Source organism: Homo sapiens, chromosome 8, assembly GCF_000001405.40.
Source record: "Homo sapiens chromosome 8, GRCh38.p14 Primary Assembly".
NCBI classification, from domain to species: Eukaryota; Metazoa; Chordata; class Mammalia; order Primates; family Hominidae; genus Homo; species Homo sapiens.
In genome coordinates this window covers 127,071,642-127,093,226 of record NC_000008.11, presented here as the reverse complement: position 1 = coordinate 127,093,226, position 21,585 = coordinate 127,071,642, and the positions used below count along the sequence as shown (strand labels likewise).

Genomic DNA, 21,585 nt, shown 5'->3' with positions numbered 1-21,585 from the left:
TAGTTGCATGCCACCATGCACCATATAGCAAATTTTCTATTGTGTAATTGATTGTGTATTTCTTTAAATTTTTAACAAGTCTGTCTATATATAGCACGATACTATTTGTGGATGAAGTAATACATTTTGGCTTGTTACCATATTGTTCTCCATCTATTATGTCAGCCTTATTATTGTAGCAGGATACAGCCCCAGTAATGTATGTTTTTTTTAAATTTTATGTTTTGCTGTTGATTACAAAACTACAACACAAGCTTCTATATTATCATTAGGTTTTACTGAAATTTCGTGAAGTATTAGATTGAGTAATGCATGATTTTAAGCCTTCCAGAAAAAAAAACCTGTTAAGATCTGTCCTCATAGCCATCACACTTGCTTATTGAATGTCTTGCTCATTATGATAGCTTAGTACTATGACCAGGAAACATCTCAAGGCACAGGTAACACTTGAGGTAAGGTTCGCAGCTAAGGTTGGTGGGTATAAATCCATACTTCAAAGAGAACCCTCAACAATTTCCTTGTTTTGGGCTAACTTCTTATCAGATCTCATTAGATCATCATTGCTTTTCCCCCATAATGCTGCCAAAGAAAAAAAACAAAACACAAAAATACACCTTGTCACAGGATTTGGGGGGTGGGGGTGCTGGCTCGCTCTTTTCTTACTTCTCAATGCCAGCATTATTATTTTGCGGTTTCTTTACAGGAAGATTTTAAGCCACTCATTCAGTTTGAGAGGGTTAGTTTAATTAAAACTTGATACCCTTGTCCGTAAATCCCCAGAGCAGAGTCCTGGTAGCTGCAGCCAGGGGGAAACACACAGACTGGGAGGCTGGCCTGGGGACATTGAAGGAAACTGCCATTTATTGGGCATTGCATATCTCCCCAAATGAGAGTTTCCCTTATGCAAAATTTAATTATATGCAAATTTACATCTGTATATTTTGAGGCAACCATGGAAATTTTGGTTCCAACAAATGCAAATTTTGTGACGCCTATTATAGATAATTAGAAAAAGAAGGAGCGAGTGTAGAAAATAGAGATAAAGCAGGCGCAGAGAAGCAAAGTAAATTTTTTGGAGGCTTTGCAAAAGAGAATGCGGGCGAGGAAAATAGAACCTAATTTTAGAATGGCATTCTGCAGGAGGCCATGAGGAGGAAGTGGAGTAGGTATAAGAGGTACTGCGAGGGCAGGTCCCAGGGAGGCTTAAAAGATGGGGCTATTAGGGGTGTTAAGTACTCCTGGAGACATAAGATCCCACTGGCAGGGACTGGAGGAACAGCTTCAGGGAAGAATAAGCTGTTAAACAAACAAGTATTCTAGTATTTGCATTACCTCAACTAAGCCAAGAACATATTTGCAACGAAGTAGAAGTTATTTCCTTAAGAGCTTCTGGTGACAAGGGATTCCAAATAATCCCTGAATAGTGAAGGATTTACTATTGCACATTTAAAATGTGTAAAATGTTTTAACATTGTCTTACAATGATGTCTTTATTATTATATGTTAGTAAATTAAATATTTACTTATAAGTTGTATAGATTTATTAGCAACCTCAGTTCTTCATCCCACTTTTTTAGGTTCCTGAAATTAAATTACATAGTCTTGTTAGAAATGCTTGTTCCCCGGTGCCATAAAGAAATAGCACTTGAACATAAATTTAATTTCCTCAGCAAGGCAGTTTTTACCTATTGCAGAAAGGGTACACTTGCCAGCAGTTTTGCCACAAGAGTACACCGAACAAAGGAGACAGGGTCATTTATAACCTGACCCATCCACCTTCCTGCTGTGTCCACTTTCCATTGGCTGAAACGGGACCTCACATTCTGTATTTGTCCTGATTGGCTAGCAACTTAGGACTCTTTAAAAGAGTCAAAGGCAGAGGAGAACAAAGGAAGGAGGAAGTAACTTGTGGCATGCTGACAAAGGTAAAAACACCTTAAAATAAAGAAGAGGAACAGGCTATGACCTAATGCTTGCTTGGACCAGTATAAGCATGCCAGGGCAAATATTTAGGTTAAATTGTGGGAGCTAAGAACATAAAGTACATCGATTTATTTATTACGGCTAGCAGATATTTCAGAATGTTAGCACAGGTCTTTGAATAAATTTTGTTTCTAAGATAAGTTACTATTTATTCCTAATTAGATGGAGAGGAAAGTCTTTGAAGAGGAACCTCTACTTTGCTTTTTACAGTCTTTTGCCAGTTCACCTGCTTTGTGGGTTTTTAGGACCTGCCTCTGGCATTTTGAAGGAGATATTTTTTTATCAGAAGCATCACTAGGAACTTTATTTATGCTATTTAATTTCATCCTCAAATCTATTCAGAGCCTAAACAAATGCTGATCTCTCTAGTAAATAGGCACTCTGCACTCGTGTGCAAAACTTTCAGGTATTATTTTTAATGTTTTTCAGGAAAGAAATCTGAGGTCCAGAGAACTGGGAACAATACTAATTGAATTAGAATGTGATCTGTATTAGTTTCCAATTGCTGCTGTAACAAATTGCCTCAAGCTTAATGGCTTAAAACAACATAATCATCTTATAGCTCTTGGTGTCCAAAGTCCAAAACGGGTCTTACTGGGTTAAAATCAAGAAGTTGGCAGGGCTGCTTTCCTTCTGTGGGCTTTAGGGGAGAATCTGTTTCCTTGCCTCTTCCATCTTTTAGAGGCTGCTTACATGAATTGTCTTGTGACATAGTTTGGATGTTTGTCCCCTAAAAACCTCATGTTGAAATTTGATCCCAATGTTGGAGGTAGGGCCTAATGGGAGGTGTTTGGGTGATGGGGATGAATTGCTTTTGCTCTCTCTGGGGCCAGGGAAGTGAGTTCTCACTTTTATTCTTAAGAGAACTGGTTGTTCCATTGTGGAAGACAATGTTGCAATTCCTCAAGGATCTAGAACCAGAAATACCATTTGACTCAGCAATTCCATTACTGTGTATATACCCAAAGGATTATAAATCACTGTACTACAAAGACACATGCACACGTATGTTTACTGCAGCACTGTTCATAATAGCAAAGACTTGGAACCAACCCAAATGCCCATCAATGATAGAGTGGATAAAGAAAATGTGGCACATATACACCATGGAATACTATGCAACCATAAAAAGGATAAGTTCATGTCCTTTGCAGGGACATGGATGAAGCTGGAAATCATCATTCTCAGCAAACTATCACAAGGACAGAAAACCCAACACTGCATGTTATCATTCATAAGTGGGAGATGAACAATGACAACACATGGACACAGGGAGGGGAACATCACACACCAGGGCCTGTCAGGGTTTGGGGGTTAAGGAAGGGATAGCATTAGGAGAAATACCTAATGTAGAAGACAGGTTAATGGGTGCAGCAAACCACTATGGCATGTGTATTCCTATGTAGCAAACCTGCACATTCTGCACATGTATACCAGAACTTAAAGTATAATTTTTTTTTAAAAAAAGAGCTGGTTGTTTAAAAAAAGCCTGGCCCCTCCTCCCTCTCTCTTGCTTCCTCTCTCCCCACGTGATCTCTAAACACACCAGCTCCCCTTTACGTTCTGACATGAGTGGAAACAGCCTGAGGCCCTTGCCAGATGCAGCTACCCAATATTAAACTTTTCCAGACATGAGAATAGTGAGCAAAATAAACCTTTTTAAAATAAATTACCCAGCTTCAGCTATTCCTTTATAACAATTCCTTTAAGACAGCTTGTCTTATTCCTTTAAGACAGCTTGTGACTCCTTCCATCTCTAAAGCCAACATCACTCTAACCTCTTCTCTGTCTTCATGTTTGTTTTTTTTTTTTTTTTTGCGACCCTCATTTTCCTGCTTCTCTGTTTTACTTATAAGGACCCTTGTAAATACATTGGTTCCACATGAAGAATACAGGATATTATCTGCATGTCAAAATCCTTTCATTTAATCACATCTGTAAAGTCTCTTTTGTCATGCAAATTAATGTTTACAGATCTTAGGAATTAGGATGTAGACATTTGTGGGCCATTGAATACCACATAAACACAGATATGCCTGAAGATACCGCCTAAGTAACTTATATTTTAAATTCATTTACTCATTCAATAATTTTTTATTCATACCTGCTATTTGCAAGCCTATGTACTAATCCCTAGGGATATAACGTTGAACAAGATAGCCAAATCTCTGCAGCTCTAATATCTCCTAGGCTAGCTGATAGTTCCTTAACCGCCCCCAACCTCTCTCCCCACCTCTAGCAAGATATTAAGCAATAAAAATTCATCAAGTTTGTTCAATGGACACCTCATGCTGAGTAGAAATGGAAAGGAAAAATATAAATAAACATCTGTGCTCTCAAAGATTATTCAATCTAGATGAGAAGATGAAATACAAAAGAGAATAAAGGCAAACAGGTAGAGGGAAAAAACGTAATGAATTTGTCTTGGCAGAGGACTTTCTTTGAAAGCACTTGGAGTAGAAGAGGTATAATCTGAAGTTGTTGCGGTCAGTAAACAGAAAGACCCAGGGAGGCAGAAACTTACTCTGCATGAGTGAGAAGAAAGGATTCATTAATTCAATCCTGAAAAGAAGGGTGAGAGAAGGAAGAGAAATTAAGGGTTGATCAGGAGATGGGCAGTCCAGGAAGAGAAGAAGAGTCTGGGACTATTGAAGAGCCACTATTGCATATTGCTTAGGGTAGGGGAGGGAAGACAATAGACTTTTTTTTTTTTAAATTTTTAAATTTAGAAATTTATTCTGTTTAATCCACAAGCTTTATATAGCTTTAGTTTAAAAAAAATAAAAAAAAAAAATCAAAACAAAAACAGTGAAACCGAGACACTATTCCAAAGTCTGGGCCCTTCCAGCCTTCCAAATACAAGAGGCTCTGAAAGTTGTATACACCAATTGGAAGAACAAGACAAAAATATGAACAGAGCCATGACATTTCATTAAACAAATTGTATGTAACTGAAGGAATCCTTTCTGGGACTAGTTCATGGCCTTTACAAAAGAAAAAAACAAAACAAAAAAACAAAACCAGAAGAACAGAATGAGAGTCCAGTGTTCCAAATCAAGTTGTTACACATCAATATAAACCCACAGTGTCCTGGCAAACAACATGCTTTCATTTTCTGTCTTATCCTAGAGCTCGAATCCTGATTCATTTCAGCAGAGACTCCACAGGCAACAGGAAAGACTGTGGCATTAAAATATTCATTTATACTTTTGTGGTAGTTCAAAACAGTGGTCTTATTTCTGGGCAAGCTTACAGACCATACAAGGTCAGAAGCATAACTTAAATGGGAGCTAAGACTCAAATGGAAAAAAATGTAAGAAGAAGAAAGAAAAACAAAAAGCAAATCAAAACCAAAAAAACAAACAAAAAAACCCCTCTGGGAATAGCCAGAGCATTTAAAGGAACCATAAAAGTGTCAACAGTATTTAAACCCCCTTTTTTAAAAAGGGAATTTTTTTTGGCTTAAAATATTTCACTCAATGAATTATGTCAGCTGTCAATGAAAGAATGTCACTAATACACTGTGGACACCTTTTGCAATGTAAATCCATGCCCCCTTTTTTTACATGTTGAACTTCAACCTAGCAATTATTACAACAAATGTTATAGTCTAAAGCTCAAACACATTTTAGCAATTTTGAAATTGAACTGCGTACAAACCAAATAAAATTTACATCATAACAAACATTTCCCCCTAAGACTGTGGGGACACTTGGGCCTTCCTCATTGATCTCAGCAGAGACGCCAATACAGACGACAAAACCAGCAGTCTTCATCTGACTCTGGTTCCTCCTTCTCCTCAGAAGATGAACGACCCAAGAGATCCCATGTGAAGAATGGTGAGGTTGGCAAGCGGCGGAGACATTCCCCTTCCCGGAGTGCTTCTCCATCACCACGAAAGCACCAAAAAGAGACTTCCCCTCATGGTAGACGGAGGAGAAGTCCATCCCCACCACCCACCAGAAGGCGACGGTCTCCTTCTCCCGCCCCTCATCCTCGACGGCTCAGGACTCCCACACCACCACCACCACGACGAAGGACTCCTTCTCCTCCCCTACGTCGGCGCTCACCTTCTCCTAGAAGATACTCTCCTCCAATACAGAGGAGATACTCTCCTTCTCCACCTCCAAAGAGAAGAACGGCTTCACCTCCTCCCCCTCCTAAACGAAGAGCATCACCATTTCCACCACCAAAGCGGCGGGTCTCCCATTCTCCACCTTCCAAAGAAGCTCCCCAGTCACCAAGAGACGTTCACCTTCACTATCATCCAAGCATAGGAAAGGGTCTTCCCCAAGCCGCTCTACCCGGGAGGCCCGATCACCGCATCCAAACAAATGGCATTCGCCCTCATCACGGCCTCGAGCTCCTCAGACCTCAAGTCCTCCACCCGTTCGAAGAGGAGCGTCGTCATCACCCCAAAGAAGGCAGTCCCCGTCTCCAAGTACTAGGCCCATTAGGAGAGTCTCCAGGACTCCGGAACCTAAAAAGATAAAAAAAGGCTGCTTCCCCAAGCCCACAGTCTGTAAGGAGGGTCTCATCCTCCCGATCTGTCTCTGGGTCTCCTGAGCCAGCAGCTAAAAAGCCCCCAGCATCTCCATCCCCCATCCAGTCTCAGTCACCGTCTACAAACTGGTCACCAGCTGTACCGGTCAAAAAGGCCAAAAGCCCAACACCGAGCCCATCACTGCCAAGAAATTCAGATCAAGAAGGAGATGGAAAGAAAAAGAAGAAAAAGAAGGACAGGAAACACAAAAAGGATAAGAAGCACAAGAAGCACAAAAAACACAAGAAGGAAAAGGCTGTGGCTGCAGCTGCTGCAGCTGCTGTGACCCCTGCAGCCATTGCAGCTGCCACAACCACATTAGCACAGGAAGAGCCAGTGGCAGCGCCAGAGCCGAAGAAGGAGACTGAAAGTGAAGCTGAAGATAACCTTGATGATTTAGAAAAGCACCTGCGTGAAACGGCCCCGAGATCAATGAGGACTTTTTTTTTTAAGAATTAGGATCTCTATTTAAAGGTTAATGTTGTATGTCCTCCTGCAATTAAATTTACCTTCAATTTTACTTAAAATTCTCAATTTGGGTTGCTCTATTCAAGAATTATTGGTGTGAGGGGAGTCTGGGATGGAAGAGGACATTAGTAGCTGATGAGTTTTATGCCTGGGTTAATGAGTTATAGCACAGGGACGACAAGAAATGATCTAGGAAACCTGGATGAAAAGGGGCTTTGAGATATAAGGCCGGGAATTGACAGATATCTGAGGGAAAAGATCTTTACTCCTAAATATTCTAGAATTAACAGAAGGGTGGAGAATTTTTTCAACTGGGTCATGAGGGAAAGGGATGTCTTTGGCTGGCATCTGGGTTCCCTGAATCTAATGAGGAGTGTAGACTTCAGTGGTTGTGATGATGGAACAGGGAATACATAGACTGGAGCTCAGAAGAAGAAGAGGTGACATCCAAATAGCCCCAAGAGTGGGCAGAGAGAGAAATGCAAGCAAAAACATGAAGACAAAACCCATATGTATAATGTAGTCCCTAAAAGCCAACCTTAGATCAATCATAGAAAAGTGTTCTATCTATGCTAACCCTTTTAACTCTCATAATACCACCCTGAAGTAGGAATCACCATCCTCTTTCATTCAGTTATGAATATATCTATTAACTCACCAAATATTCACTGTACATTGTAATGATCAGTTTTATGTGTCCACTTGGTAAAGTTACTGTATTAGTCCATTCTCATGCTGCTATAAAGAACTGCCCAAGACTGGGTAATTTATACAGAAAAGAGATTTAATTGACTCACAGTTCAGCGTGGCTGGGGAGGCCGCAGGAAACTTACAATCATGGCAGAAGGGGAAGCAAACATGTCCTTCTTCACATGGCAGCAGGAAGAAGGAGAATGAAAGTGGAGCAAAGAGGGAAGCCCTTTATAAAACCATGAGATCTCCTGAGAACTAACTCACTATCATGAGAACAGAATGGGAGAAACTGCCCCTATGATTCAATTATCTCCACCTGGTTCCTCCCACAACACATGGGGATTATAAGAACTATAATTCAAGATGAGATTTGGGTGGGGACATAGCCAAACCATATCAGTTACAACTCTCAGTTATTCAAACACTAATTTAGGTGTTACTATAATGATATTTTATAGATGTGATTAAAGTCCATAATCACTTGGTTTTGAGTAAGGGAGATTATTTTAGATAATGTGAGTGGGCCTGATTTAATCACCTGAAAGTCCTTGAGAGCAGAGCCAAGTCTTCCCTGAAGAAGAGCAGCATCCACATGAGTATTGCAGCTTCATCCTGTGCCTACAAGTCCCAGCCTGTTTTCTTCCTGCCTGCTCTGTGGACTTAGGATTTACCTAGCCAGTGCCCACAATCACATAGGTCAATTCTTTGCAAGAAATCTCTTAATACAGATATCTTACTGGTTTGGTTTCCTCTGGTTAAACCCTGATGAGATAGACATGGTGATGCCTCTATTTTGAATCCACAACCATAGAATTTTCTGTTTTCCCTCATTCTGTATCTGTGTGTCCTACAGAAAGCACCTGGCTCTCAGGAATATCATTCTTTTATTTCTTCCTTAGCGCTTTCTAGTAACTTACAGAAGTCTTTCTTCACTCAAGCTTTTGGGGTAATACATTTATTTTCTGGCTGTATTGATTTGGTAATCAATCAAACTATTGAGTTTTTAATTTGAGGGTTATATTTATATAGCCCCCAAAGCCAGTTGTTTTTTCTTCAGCTTCTTGTTTCTGCTTCATGCAGGAATCTTCCGTAGCTCCTCAAGGACATTTACTATGATTATTATAACATTTAAACATTATAGTTCAATGTCATGAAATTCAAACTTGTGGTCTTTATATATTTATTATAGCCCAGAAGCCAGTACAGTGCTTGATATACCATTGATGCTTAAAAATCATTTATGGAATAAACAGAGCGTCTACTTTAGGTTTAAAGATGCATTTCTCAGGTAGACCATGAACCTCTTAAACACAAAGACTGTATATTGATGTCTGTGCCCATTTCATAACCTTGCATGGCTGCAGAGAACTTGTTGATGGATTAAAGGGTGCTCAGTTTTGATTTGGTGGCCAGGTGATGATGCTGAACATTATGTTCAAATACTGGAGCTAAAGCTGGTTAAATCCATGGTGGCTCTTATACAAAATGGCTCTGGGATTGGTGTAAGATGTGTGTCTACATTTGGGGACCAGGAGACCCTAGCTATGAGAAGACAAAAATGAAAAGGTATAACATCATAAAGGTGAAATGAAGATAAGTTCGCAATCAATTTATTAAAAGGGCAAAATATGTCCACTGGAAAACATCTGAAGGAGTAGAAAATCCAGTCTTCAGCATAATTAGTGTTCAAAATAATTTTAATTATTAACACTTACAAAGCATGGTCTCTCAACAATGCACGTCACAATCATACTTCTAGGTTCCCCTCATAACTAAGTGTGATATGTCAACTTTGAAAGCGCTTATATGGTTAAAGGAGAAATTTGATAAAATCCACATGAGGAGACAGTGGAATACTCAGGATAAAACCTTCCAGCTTCGTAGACTCAATCCACAGTAAATCCCAAGAACTAAGCCACTTCTAATTAAATACAGGCATGTTGCCATGTGGGGCTCAAAGCCAGCTTCTGATTGCAGGCAGAACTGCTTATTTCTCTCTCTCTGAGGATTTGGGAACTCCCAGAAGTTAATGACAGCCTTGACAACCAACATCCAACTGGAGAGTAAAAACAGCTTTATCAAACCTGCTGTTTGAAATACATAACACCAAGCATCTAGATGTTTGGAGGCATCTGGTATTTGGGGTGAAACTTTTCCCTCTCTACCCAGCTATCTGAGAAAGATCAAACTAGCAGTGTAATATCAGCCCTTGGAATCTGGCCTGTACATAGGCGATGCGCAGTAGAAGTCTGCTCAGCTTCCACCTTTGTCAGACAGTCTCTTGCTCACTGACACCTTTCCATAGTAGGTGGCTCAGGATCACTTCTGGACTTAGATCCACAATGCTTCCACAGAGAAAGGCTTCCAATCTGATCTTTCACCTATGCAAATTCTCCATAGACGTTAGCATTTCCTGAATTCCCAAAAGCTATATACTCCCCAATCTCTGGTCTTACCTTACCATATTTTTTTTCTTTTTTGAACTTTCCTAGCACACACTTTTGCACTTGATGTTATACATATCATTTATTGATGTCTTCCATACACTTCCAAAACACCTCTTGCTTTATGAGGCTTCCATTAACTCACACTTGCCATTTAGATTTTTCTTGGATTATAAGTTTCTGATATTGTATCTGAGAAGACAGCAAGTGCTGTAACTTAAGCAAGCTGGTGAGCACCACATTATTTTAGGGGTAAAAGTTGTCAAATGATAGCAGTAATTTTAGCTTCAAAGGAATTTCTAACAGTTCCAAAATGTAACGTATAGTGTGTTCTATTTTTTACCTTGGGTGTATTTGATCCTATTTAAAAAGCAGTAAAAGTACTAAGATCAAAGAGATCTCTTAAATGCCATATCCCCAGTGGAGATGGCCAATCAATGTTTAGTAAATCAATCAATCAACAGAAAGCATATTGGCTTATTTATTTTCTTTTAAAAGCAAACATATATTATGATTAATTTTATTTGTTAATGTATATTTTCATACTAGTTGTCTTAGTCTGTTTTTGCTGCTATCACAAAATACCTGAAATTGGGAAATTTATTAAAAAACAGGAATTTATTTTATCCCAGTTCTGGAGAAAATGAGATGTCCAGGATCAAGCTGTTGGCTGGTTCTGTTGTCTGGTGATGGCTCCTCTGCTTCCAAGATGACACTTTGTTGCTGCATCCTCCAGAGGGGAGGAACACTGTGTCCTCACTTATGGAAGGTGGGAGGGCTAGAGGTCACAATGCTGTGAGAAGCCTCTTTTATGAGGTCCTTCATCCCATTCTTGGGGGAGGCACTCATGGCCTAACAACCTCCTAAAGAACCTACTATTTTGTGTAATACCATCATATCGGCTGCTGTTAACTATCAGTACCTGAATTTTGGAGGGAACACATTCAAACTATAGCATTTATTTAGGCTAAAAAGGTATGTTTTACCTGGGGGATGTGAGTGACAAACTCCTCACTCATTTATTTATCACTATTTCTAAAAGAAATTTTGCTTTGGGTTATTTGGATTTGGTTTATACATGCATCTCCTGATGTATATGTAACATATTAGTCTAAAGTCTCATCAAGTTTCATCTAGACATTAATCTATCTTTCCAAGTAGTTTAAGGTGCTGGAAAGTCCTTCCTTCTACTTTTTATCATACGTCATAGTGAGTCTCTAACTCTCCTGGACATTAACTTGCTAAGATGGAGATTTCTGACCCTCCTCTTAGAGTGTCTGATTCAGTGGGTCTAAGGAGAGGCCCAGGAATCTGCATTTATAACAGTCTAAATGATCCTAGTAAAGAAGTCTCAGGAGAAACATCATCCTATGGCACTGCAACTAGTTCACTTTGGATTGTAGTAGGAGCTCAGGACTTCTTGTTCAGTGTTTATTCTTTTTGTCACCTATTAAAAGATAATTTTCAAAAAAAGATTTTTTTTTATACTCTCATACTGACAAAAATATGAAGAGGTGTTAAAGATTTAATTTAATTAATTAATGAGGAAAAAGAAGAGATGTTAGAATGAGTCCAAGGGAAAACCCAGAAATGCATTTACAGATCAGGAATATAGAAATAAATGGGCAAATGGAGGCAAAACTACTAGCCTTTTCCACAATGGGGAAGAAAAGTCAATTAAATCACCCCTGGACACAATTTACATGTCTATAGACAAGAATTATATGCATTAATATTAGTTTACAGCATTATAAAATGGCTCAAAGATAATGAAAGACTACAATTGTATAATCTGAAAGAGTGTGATTCAAACAACATGCATTTTCCAATGAAGCACAATATTTTTCTACTTGTGCTGGAGAGTAAGCCAGGAAAAGAGAAAATCCTGAATCTAAAGAATGGGGGTCAGAGTGACCAGAGTGTAGATGAAAAGACAAGTAATCTCACAGGGTTGAATCTTAGGGGTAGGAGGTCAAAGGTGCAGTTAAGAGGTGGCAGAGAGGCGAAGAGGACAGCAGAACTGTGAAGCTGTGAGTAATCATGGGAGGGAAATGTAACACATGGTCTTGGACCCACTAAGAATTGGACATTGTTGTGGCATTGCCAGCTCATCTCTTGGGCATTGAGAAAACCTTACTCCAGCAATGTTATTCCGTAATTGCCCTGATGACTAGAGGGTTATGACTTTCCCTTTTTGAAAGTTTGTGTTTTGAGTAATCTGTTTAGAAACTCCACCCATAGGGCACTGGTGGTGGCAAGACATTGGCTTTTGGGGGACATAATTTAGATCACCAAGTCCCCATTTGACATTTCAATCATATTCTTGCCTTTAAGGTTCTGGGTGTATCTGTATCTTCACATGGTGAAGGAATTATAAAGCGATTTTGTGTCCCCTCTGTGGGCACAGGATGTTGCAGAAATAAAGCTGATAGAAATAGTCACATGAGTTGACCAGATGGCATCATCAGCCTCTTGAATCCACTACATCCCTAATGTCATTAGCTTGGAGGGGCAGCTGCCAAATTAGGTGGGGCTGGACATTCCTTTTAACAGGTGCCTTCTTTTCTAGGATCCAAGTGAGAGCCTAAGATAGTTTCCATAATGTCCAAAAGCACATCCTTAGAAAAACATGATTGAATTGTACAACAGGGACTTTCTGACTCAGTTCCCTAACCCATTCTTAGTTTGTATTCTCCATCGAAAATGTGACAATATTTGGCAAATATAAATTTGAGATTTCCAGAAAGGAGCAGTCAGAAAATTAAAAAAATAAATAAACATAAAATGAAAGGAACAGGTTATTTTTGTGTAATGAAAACTTGACCATTTCATCCCTCTTCTTCAAACACTTAGTGTATACTCATTTCAGTTAGGATACAATCCAAGCTCTTGGACAAGGAACTTGTTACTTTACTTTTAGTCATTGGAACACTTCATAATTCTCTGCCACTGCCCATTCTCTCCACTACACACCCTGGCCTTGGCAAATACCTTCCCTCTGCTTGAAATAGTCTTTCAGGCCCTTTCCTGACCTGATTGAGCCTACTTATTTAGATAATCATGTCATTCCCAGTGGAAGAATTCCCTTTCTCTACCAGTCTGGGTTAGGTGTCACCATGCATTCTATCACCTTGAATTTCTCTAAGCAAAGCAATTATCACTGCATATCTAAATGTGCCTCCCTAATCAAACTGTAAATATGGGAGTGGGAGGCTGAGATTTATAGTTATTTTGTTCAGTATTATGCTTCCAATTCTGAGAAAATGCATAAAAAGAAATCTGAATATTTACAGAATGAACAAACAATTGAGATTAAATGAATAAACAAATAAGTGAATGAAGAAATTATCGGGTGAGTGAATGGATATACAATTGAGGAAACTGGATATTTTTCCTGAGATGAAAAGAATACAGAGAATAAATAATGAAAGAAACTCTCCCTTCCCCATTCTTGGCATCTTTGTCAAAAATCAGTTGGTTTTTAATTTGTGGATTTATTCCTGGGCTCTCTATCCTATTCCATTGGTTTTTGTATCTGTTTGTTCACCAGTACTATGCCATTTTGATTACTATAGTTTTGCAATATATTTTGAAATCAGGTAGTGTGATGCCTCCAACTTTGTTCTTATGGCTCAAGATTGCTTTGTTTATTCAGGTCTTCTCTGGTTCCATATAAATTTTAGCATTTTTTTTTCAATTTCGATAAAAGATGACGTTGGATTTTTTATAGAAATCACATGGACTCTTTAGATCACATTTAGTATGGACATTTCAACAATATCGGTTTTCAACTTATGGATATGAGACATATTTCCATTTATTTGTGTAATCTTCAATTTCTTTGATCAATGTTTTATAGTTTTTAGAATATAGATATTTCCATATTCTTGCTTGGTTAAATTTACCACTAAGTATTTTGCTATGGTATTAAAATGGGATTATTTTCTTAATTTCTTTTCCAGATAGTTCATTGTCAGTGTATGAAAAACCTACTGATTTTTTACGTTGATTTTATATACTGCAACTTTATTGAATTCTCAACAAATGGTGTTGAAAAAACTGGATGTCCTCATGAAGAAGAATGAAATTGAACACATCACATCCCATATACAAGAATCAACTCAAAGTGGGTTGAAGACTTAAATATAAGATCTGAAACTATAAAACTATTAGAAATAAAAAACGTAAGAGGAAAGCTCCACACACTGATCTGGACAAAGATTTTTTTGACCATGACCCTAAAAGCACAGGCAACAAAAACAAAAAGAGACCATTAATCTATTAGTTATTGTATTGCATCAAACTAAAAAGCTTACGCACAGCAAAGGAAACAATTTACAAAATAAAGAGACAACCCATAGGTTAAGAGAAAAATATGTGCAAATAATACATCTGTTAAGGGGCTCTAATATCCAAAATACAGAGAGAAATTAAACAACTCAATAATAAGAAAACAAGTGATTACATTAAAAATAGTCAAATGACTTGAACAGATATTTCTCAAAAGAAGACACATAAATGGCCAGTGGGTTATTAATAACAAAGCCCAATATCCCTATCACTAATCATTGGGGAAATGCAAATTGAAACCACAATTAAATATCACCTCAGATCTGTCAGAATGGCTATTATCAAAAAGATGAAATTTAAATGTTGGTGAAGAAGTGGAGAAAAAGGAACCTTTTTACACTGTTGGTGAGAATGTAAATTAGTACAGCCATTATGGAAAACTGTATGGAGGCTCCTCAAAAACCAAAAAATAGAACTACCATGTGATTTAGTAATTTCACTTCTGGGTATTTACCCAAAGGCATGAAATTAGTATGTCAAAGAGATACCTGTTCTTCTATGTCCATTGCAACATTACTCGCAATACCCAAGACATGAAAGCAACCTGAATGTTCATCTACAGATGAATAGACAAAGAAAATGTGGTATATATTTGCAATGGAATATTATCTAGCCTTAATAATAAAAAAAGGAATCTTGTCATTTGCAACAACATTGATAAACCTGGTGAACATTATGCTAAGTGAAATAAGCCAGACATCGAAGGACAAATACTAAATGATCCCACTCATATGAGAAATCTAAAACAGTCAAACTCATAGAAGCAGACAGTAGAATGATGGTTACCAGGGGATGAAGGAGGGGGAAACAGGGAGGTATTGGGCAAAGAGAACAAAGTTTTTGCTACGCAAGTTAAATAAGTCCTAGAAATCTATGTGCAGCATAGTGTCTATAGTTAACTATATTATATTGCATACTCAAAGAGTTGCTAAATTTGCTAAGAGGGTAGCAAATCTTATGTTAAGTATTCTTATAAATAGATAAATAAATAAGGCAGAGGAAACCTTTGGGGGTGATGGATATGTTTATGACATTCATCATAGTGATGGTTTCATGATTGCATACTGATCACCAAACCCTTCAAGTTGTATGTGTTATGTACAGCTTCTGTATGCTAATCAAACCTCAATAAAGTGTTTTTTTAATCATAATATGTTCATGTCAGCACCAAAAGATCATCTTTTACTTTCTACTTCATAGATTATTGATTTTGATTAGGGGTTGGTAACTTCTTTCTATAAAGGACAGATAGAAAATGTTCTAGGCTTTGTGAGCCACACAGATTCTGTTGCCACTAGTCACCTGTGCCATTGTAACATGAAAATGGATATAAAAAATATGTAAATGGATGAGTATGACTGTGTTCCAGTAAAACTTTATTTACTAAAACAGGTGCAGACCAGATTTATTCCACAGGCCACAGTTTGTAAACCTTTGATTTGGAAGATTAATCATGGAGCCAAACTCAGATTGAAAACATGATATGAAGGGATCTGATTTATAGAGAGGACATGTGATTTTCAAGAATTTGCAGTTTATAAGATGACAAAAAACAAGGGTTGAATAAATGAGGATTTGAGGGACCTGTAAGTGTTGGAGGTTGAAGTAAACAACTATAATGCCAGTGATTAAGGATTCTAAGTTTAGAAAACTATGGATAACAAATAACAAGGGCAAAAGTTAGGCCATGGTGAAGGTGGCTAAAGTGGGGTTGAAAGTAAGATTTGTTTAAGTTCAGAAGGTCTGGTAATAGATGGCCTAATATTTGGAAGTTTGTGGAAGAGATGTCCAAAGTTCAAGAGAGACCATGTAATCTGTCTCTCTTGAATCAACAGATATTTCCAAATTCAAACATTATGAAGTTTGAGCTATTTAGGAAGTTAAGGAGATAATCAGATCATTTCGTCAGACACCCTTAAGGTAAATAAACTCTAATGGCTGACAACTCTGACAATTCTTTTTCCCATGTGATGGGGAAATAGCAGTAAACTTATAGCCATGACATTATCTTTTAAAGAACTATATGGTCCCTGCCTTGGAGAGCTTATAATCTAGAGGAACAAACAATGTACAGGTAAACTGTATATTAGTCAGTTCAGGCATCATGGCAAAATATCACAGTCTGGGTGGCTTAAACAACAGATAATGATTTCTAACAGTTTGGGAGGTTGGAAAGTCTAAGATCAAGATGTCAGCAGGCTCGGTTCCTGGTGACGTCCCTTTTCCTGGCTTGTAGACAGTTGTCTTCTCATTGTGTCCTCCCATGTCTTAGAGAGAGAGAGACACACACACACAAAGAGAGAGAGCTTCGTTCTCTCTGTCTCTTCTTATAAGAACACTAATTCCATTATGAGGGGCCCCACCCTCACAACCTCATCTAAACCTAATTACCCCCTAAAAGTCCCACCTCCACAAACCATCGCAGTGGGTTTTGATTGCTGGAGGAATGCAAATTTCAGTCCTTAGCAAACTGTTGCATTAAACACTACATATAGATTATAAAATGTGCTTGCAAAAGGAATAAAAACAGAGTCAGTAAAGAGGTGAGCTGGAGAGGGCACTTCCATCAGGGTGGTCAGCAAGTCCTTTCTAAGAAGGGAACATTTCAGCAGATATTTGAAGGATAAGAAGGAGCCACACAGTGCTTGTGAAGAACATTCCAGGAAGAAGGAGTGACATGAACTGTGGCCCTAAAGCAAGAAAAATTCTAGCATGTTCCAGAATCTCTCAGGAGGCTGCTCAGGTTGGCGCACAGAGAGCAAGAGGAGAAAGGCTTTAGAAAAGGTTGGTCCTCTCTTACCTGCTCAAAGACACCTTATTATATGTTACCACTGGATTTCAAGGGCAGTCATCCTGTGGACTTCTGAATTTGAAAACCTTTGTTAAAATTCCTGCAAGTAGATTCTTCACTGTGGAATCTTGAGCAAGCCCCTTGGCCTCTCTGAATTTCATTTTTCTTATCTGGAGGTGAACATATCATCTGCCTTTCCTACCAGACAGATTGGTTGTGAGCAACAAATGAAATAACTCAGGTGAAAGCATTTTGCTAAACAATCTACAAATAGGAGACATTGTCAAGTATCTTGAGACTGACTTCTTCACTTCCAATCCAGTTTGCTTACTGTGTCTAAGGTGCCACTTTAGATGGCACTTTTCATCATGAGATTATATCTCTTCTCCTATTGAAAAACAGAATAAAGTGAGATGAGGAAGTTAGACACTGAAGCAAGACTTCTGCATAACTGTTATTTACCTTGTGCCTCAGCTTTCAAATCTGTAAAATGGGGATGATACTGACCTCCTGGGTGATTGGTGTGTGCCCAGCAGAGATCCTGGTGTGGTGCTAGCTTCAGTTAGGCCAGATTTGAAAGAGTCACTGCTGTGATAATCAGTTAGATTATGATTCCTATTAGGCCCACCATGGGGACTGCTCTTCCCTTTTCCATAGCCTATTAAGTGGCTGGCATGAAGAGGCAACTCTCATCTGCAGGCATTCACCCTTCCTTTTGGGTTGCCATAGAGAGTGAATCACAACATGGGTCTCTCTTGGTCTTTGTCCAAAAAGATTGATTTCCACAAGTGGTATTAGAATATCCCATCTGCAGTCGCACAGAGCATGGGCTTGGAACAGGAGCTGTAATAAAGTTCTCAGCTTAAATGGACTTTGCAGCCCCTTACTTCTGGCTTTGACCTTTTTACAGTAAAACTAAACTATTTTTACAGCTTTCATCTGTCTGGAATTCTCTCCTTTGACTCATACCTATTTTTTTTTTCCACCACCCTCCCCACTGCCTCTATTAGCATTTTGTGGGCTGGCTCCTACTGTATTATATTTTAAGGATTAGTTCAGTTGATCCCTCCTGTGATAATCCCTAATGAATACCATCCACCTTTCTTTGCCCGCAGCAGGTGAGATGGGAATCCTCTTCCTCAGCCTCTACACTATCCTGAACATACTTTCCTCATAACACTTTCCACACACTCTTAGCTACGTGTGCCTCTCTTCCACTAGAGCATGTGCCTTGACATCAGGGCCCCAGTGACTAGATATTATTCAACTTTAAATCTCCAGTGTCAATCACAGCACCTGGCACACAGGTGTTCAGTAATGTTTACTGAATGAATGAATTAATGATGGCTGAATAAACTATCTCCTCTAGTTTCCTCTATACAGCAGACAACCTAAACTCCTTAGTTCCCTATCCTGAGTCCCTGATTATCCCCAAACAGCATCCCACACATACCTTACAGTGACTTTTTTCTGCAACATACCTCACCTTTGAGGCAGTCTGCTCTATTTTTAGAAAAATATTTTGAGCACAAACTTCACCCTAAGCATCTTCTAGCTTCAGGGATTAACTCTACCATCTGGAGCAAAACAAACCTACTGTCTCCTTTATAAGATAATCTTATTATTTAGAACAATTATTTGTAAAAAATTACTTAAATGGACAAACAGTAGTATATATATATATAGTATATATATAGAGTATATATTTATGTGGTATAATGTAAATGTTATACTTGTGTACATTGTGGAATGATTAAAACAGGCTAACACATGCATCATTTCACATACTTATCATTTATTTGTGGTGAGAACATCTAAAATCTACTCTATAAAAACAATTTTGGAATATACATTATTATGTATTGAAATATACATTATTTCATAGAGGCTGCACCAATTTACATTTCCACTAATAATATACTGGGGTTCCCTTTTCTGCACATCATTTCCAACACTCATCTTTTTTTTTTTTTTTTTTCCAGGGCGCCGCTCTAACCCCCAACCACACTCTGCAACCATCTGCATTCCTATTTCTAATTTCTGCCTCTTAGAACCCCAATACTGAAGGAAAAACTGTCCATAGTGACTGGGGCCTGCAGACTCCAGACATTCCCAGCCGGGACTGCTATCCAGACTCCTGGAGAACTATAGTGGCAGCCATAATGGATTCTGGCAGACACAAAGCAAGGGGCCGCTTTTGTTTTTTTTGCTAATAGTTATCCTAACAGCTGTGAGGTGGTATCTTGTGATATTAACTTGCATTTTCCTGATTAGTGATATCCACACTTTTTCAGATATCTGTTGACCATTTGTATGTCTTCTTTCGAGAGATGTCTATTCAGTTTCTTTGTCTATTTTTCAAATTGGTTAACTTATTTTCTTTTTTCTTTTGCTTCTGGTTTTCTATTGGTTTGTTTGCTATTGACTTGGAGGAATTTCTCATACATTTTGGATATTAACGCTTTATCATATACATGGTTTACAAATATTTTCTCCCACCCCATAGGTTATTTTTTTTCCACTTTGGTAATTGTTTCTTTTACTGTGCAGAAGTATTTTAATTTGATAAAATCACACCTATTTTTGTGTGTGTTGCCTCTGTAGAAATTCTGTTTCTAGTTATTGCTACCTAAACAAAAAAGAAACCAATTGTCCTAGTCCACTCAGGCTGCTGTCTTAGATTAGGTAATTTACAAACAACAGAAATGTGTTGTTCAGCGTTCTGGAGGCTGGGAAGTCCAAGATCAAGGTGCCAGCAGATTCAGTTTTTGGTGGAGGCTTGTTCCCCATGGATAGTGGCTTCTATCCGTATTTTCCCACTCCCATGGGGGAAGGGAAAAACAGACGCTCCATCTTTCATAAGACCACTAATCCTGTTCACAAGTGCTCCACTCTCATGACCCTGTCACTTCCCAAAAGCCTCGACTCTTAATACCAACACACTGGGGACCGGATTTCGACATATGAATTTTGGAGGAATATAAACATTCAGACCATAACACAAATTGAGTTTTATTTGTATTTCATTACCTATAGGCACTGATGCTCTCAGTTGATCTAGCAAATAGGCATCTGTCACAGAAAATAGAGAAGATATCCCAAGAGAAGAGGAGAAACTCCACAATGTGAAGAGATTTCCAGAGGCATCAGCACTCCGTCTGTCACTATTGGCATCCTGTGACATGGTTTAGTTTATGCGTGCTGGTTAGGCTGATTTACATAATACATTATCTAGTTATACCTTAAATAAACCTCAAAACTTGACGAATGTCTTGCAAATGTCCTGGAAAAAAAGAATAAATAAATATAATACTAGTGATACCAAATGAAAAAACCATGGAAGGGCACAAGCACTCCATCAGCCATATTTTGAGCTATATAAAAAAGTAATGACAGAATCATATATGACAAGAAGTCAGTGAAAAAAGTCCTAAATTATTAGGGAAACTACTTGATATGTGAAATTACATCTACTGTCATTGGTATTGAAATTTGCCCTATATGTTAATTGTACAAAGATAGCACGAAGTCCTTACCATGAGCAAGACATTTAAAGTATTCACAAGATGAGCACAAATTTTTATAATTCAAGGGTGATTTTTCAATCATTCTATATTTGGCCCAACATTTCATTTAAATTTTACTACACTTCTTACTATTCAGAGGTATGTTTTGAAGTTTCTCGGCAACAAAATCTGTAAGTTTTACACTGAGGGTGAAATTGTTTTTATTCTTGTTATTGTCACAATATGATAGATTTAAAATTAAACAATATGATGTAAGCTAAAATGCATTTCTCTTTTAGCAAATACTTTTAGAAAATATCTAATTTCAATAGAGTTCCTAAAAATAATTCTGTAAGGGTTTGTTGTCTATGCATTGTGTGAAAGTACAGATGTTTCTAAATGTCTCAGCTGATGGTATTTTTTTTTTCTAGATTCTGTTTCAGAAGTGAAATGAAGAAAAATACTTTTCAGAGAGCCACTAAAATAATGAATCAGACAAAATGATCTATTCTTTACAGAAAATTACTTTTGTATCAATAACAATAACAATGTTTCCTAGCACAAATTCTGCTAAGTGCAATCACTATTGGGAAAGGCAAAACAGATACAAGAGCAACTATAACCCAAAAAGATTGTGGGAAATACATCCAGAGATACTACAATAGCTAAAAATCCTTCTTTGCATCACTCATATTCAAACTACAGGCATTCCTCAGAGATACTGTGGATTCTGTGTCCAGATCACCACGGTAAAGCCAATATTACAATAAAGTGAGTCATATAAATTTTTTTTGTTTCCAATACATA

The 21,585-nt window shown here is 38.1% G+C and overlaps 2 long non-coding RNA genes and 1 pseudogene across 2 annotated transcripts; 2 read left to right on the top strand and 1 right to left on the bottom strand.

Moving 5' to 3' along the window:
- Positions 1–631: 631 nt before the first annotated feature.
- On the bottom strand, positions 632–13,353 carry PRNCR1 (prostate cancer associated non-coding RNA 1). Its single transcript, NR_109833.1, has one exon. It is a non-coding gene; the product is annotated as a prostate cancer associated non-coding RNA 1 (long non-coding RNA).
- SRRM1P1 (serine/arginine repetitive matrix 1 pseudogene 1) lies at positions 5,717–6,965 on the top strand (annotated as a pseudogene).
- Positions 11,006–20,533, top strand: PCAT2 (prostate cancer associated transcript 2). The gene is made up of 4 exons (NR_119373.1): positions 11,006–11,106; positions 14,094–14,257; positions 16,317–16,401; positions 20,309–20,533. It is a non-coding gene; the product is annotated as a prostate cancer associated transcript 2 (long non-coding RNA).
- The last annotated feature ends 1,052 nt before the right edge of the window (positions 20,534–21,585 follow it).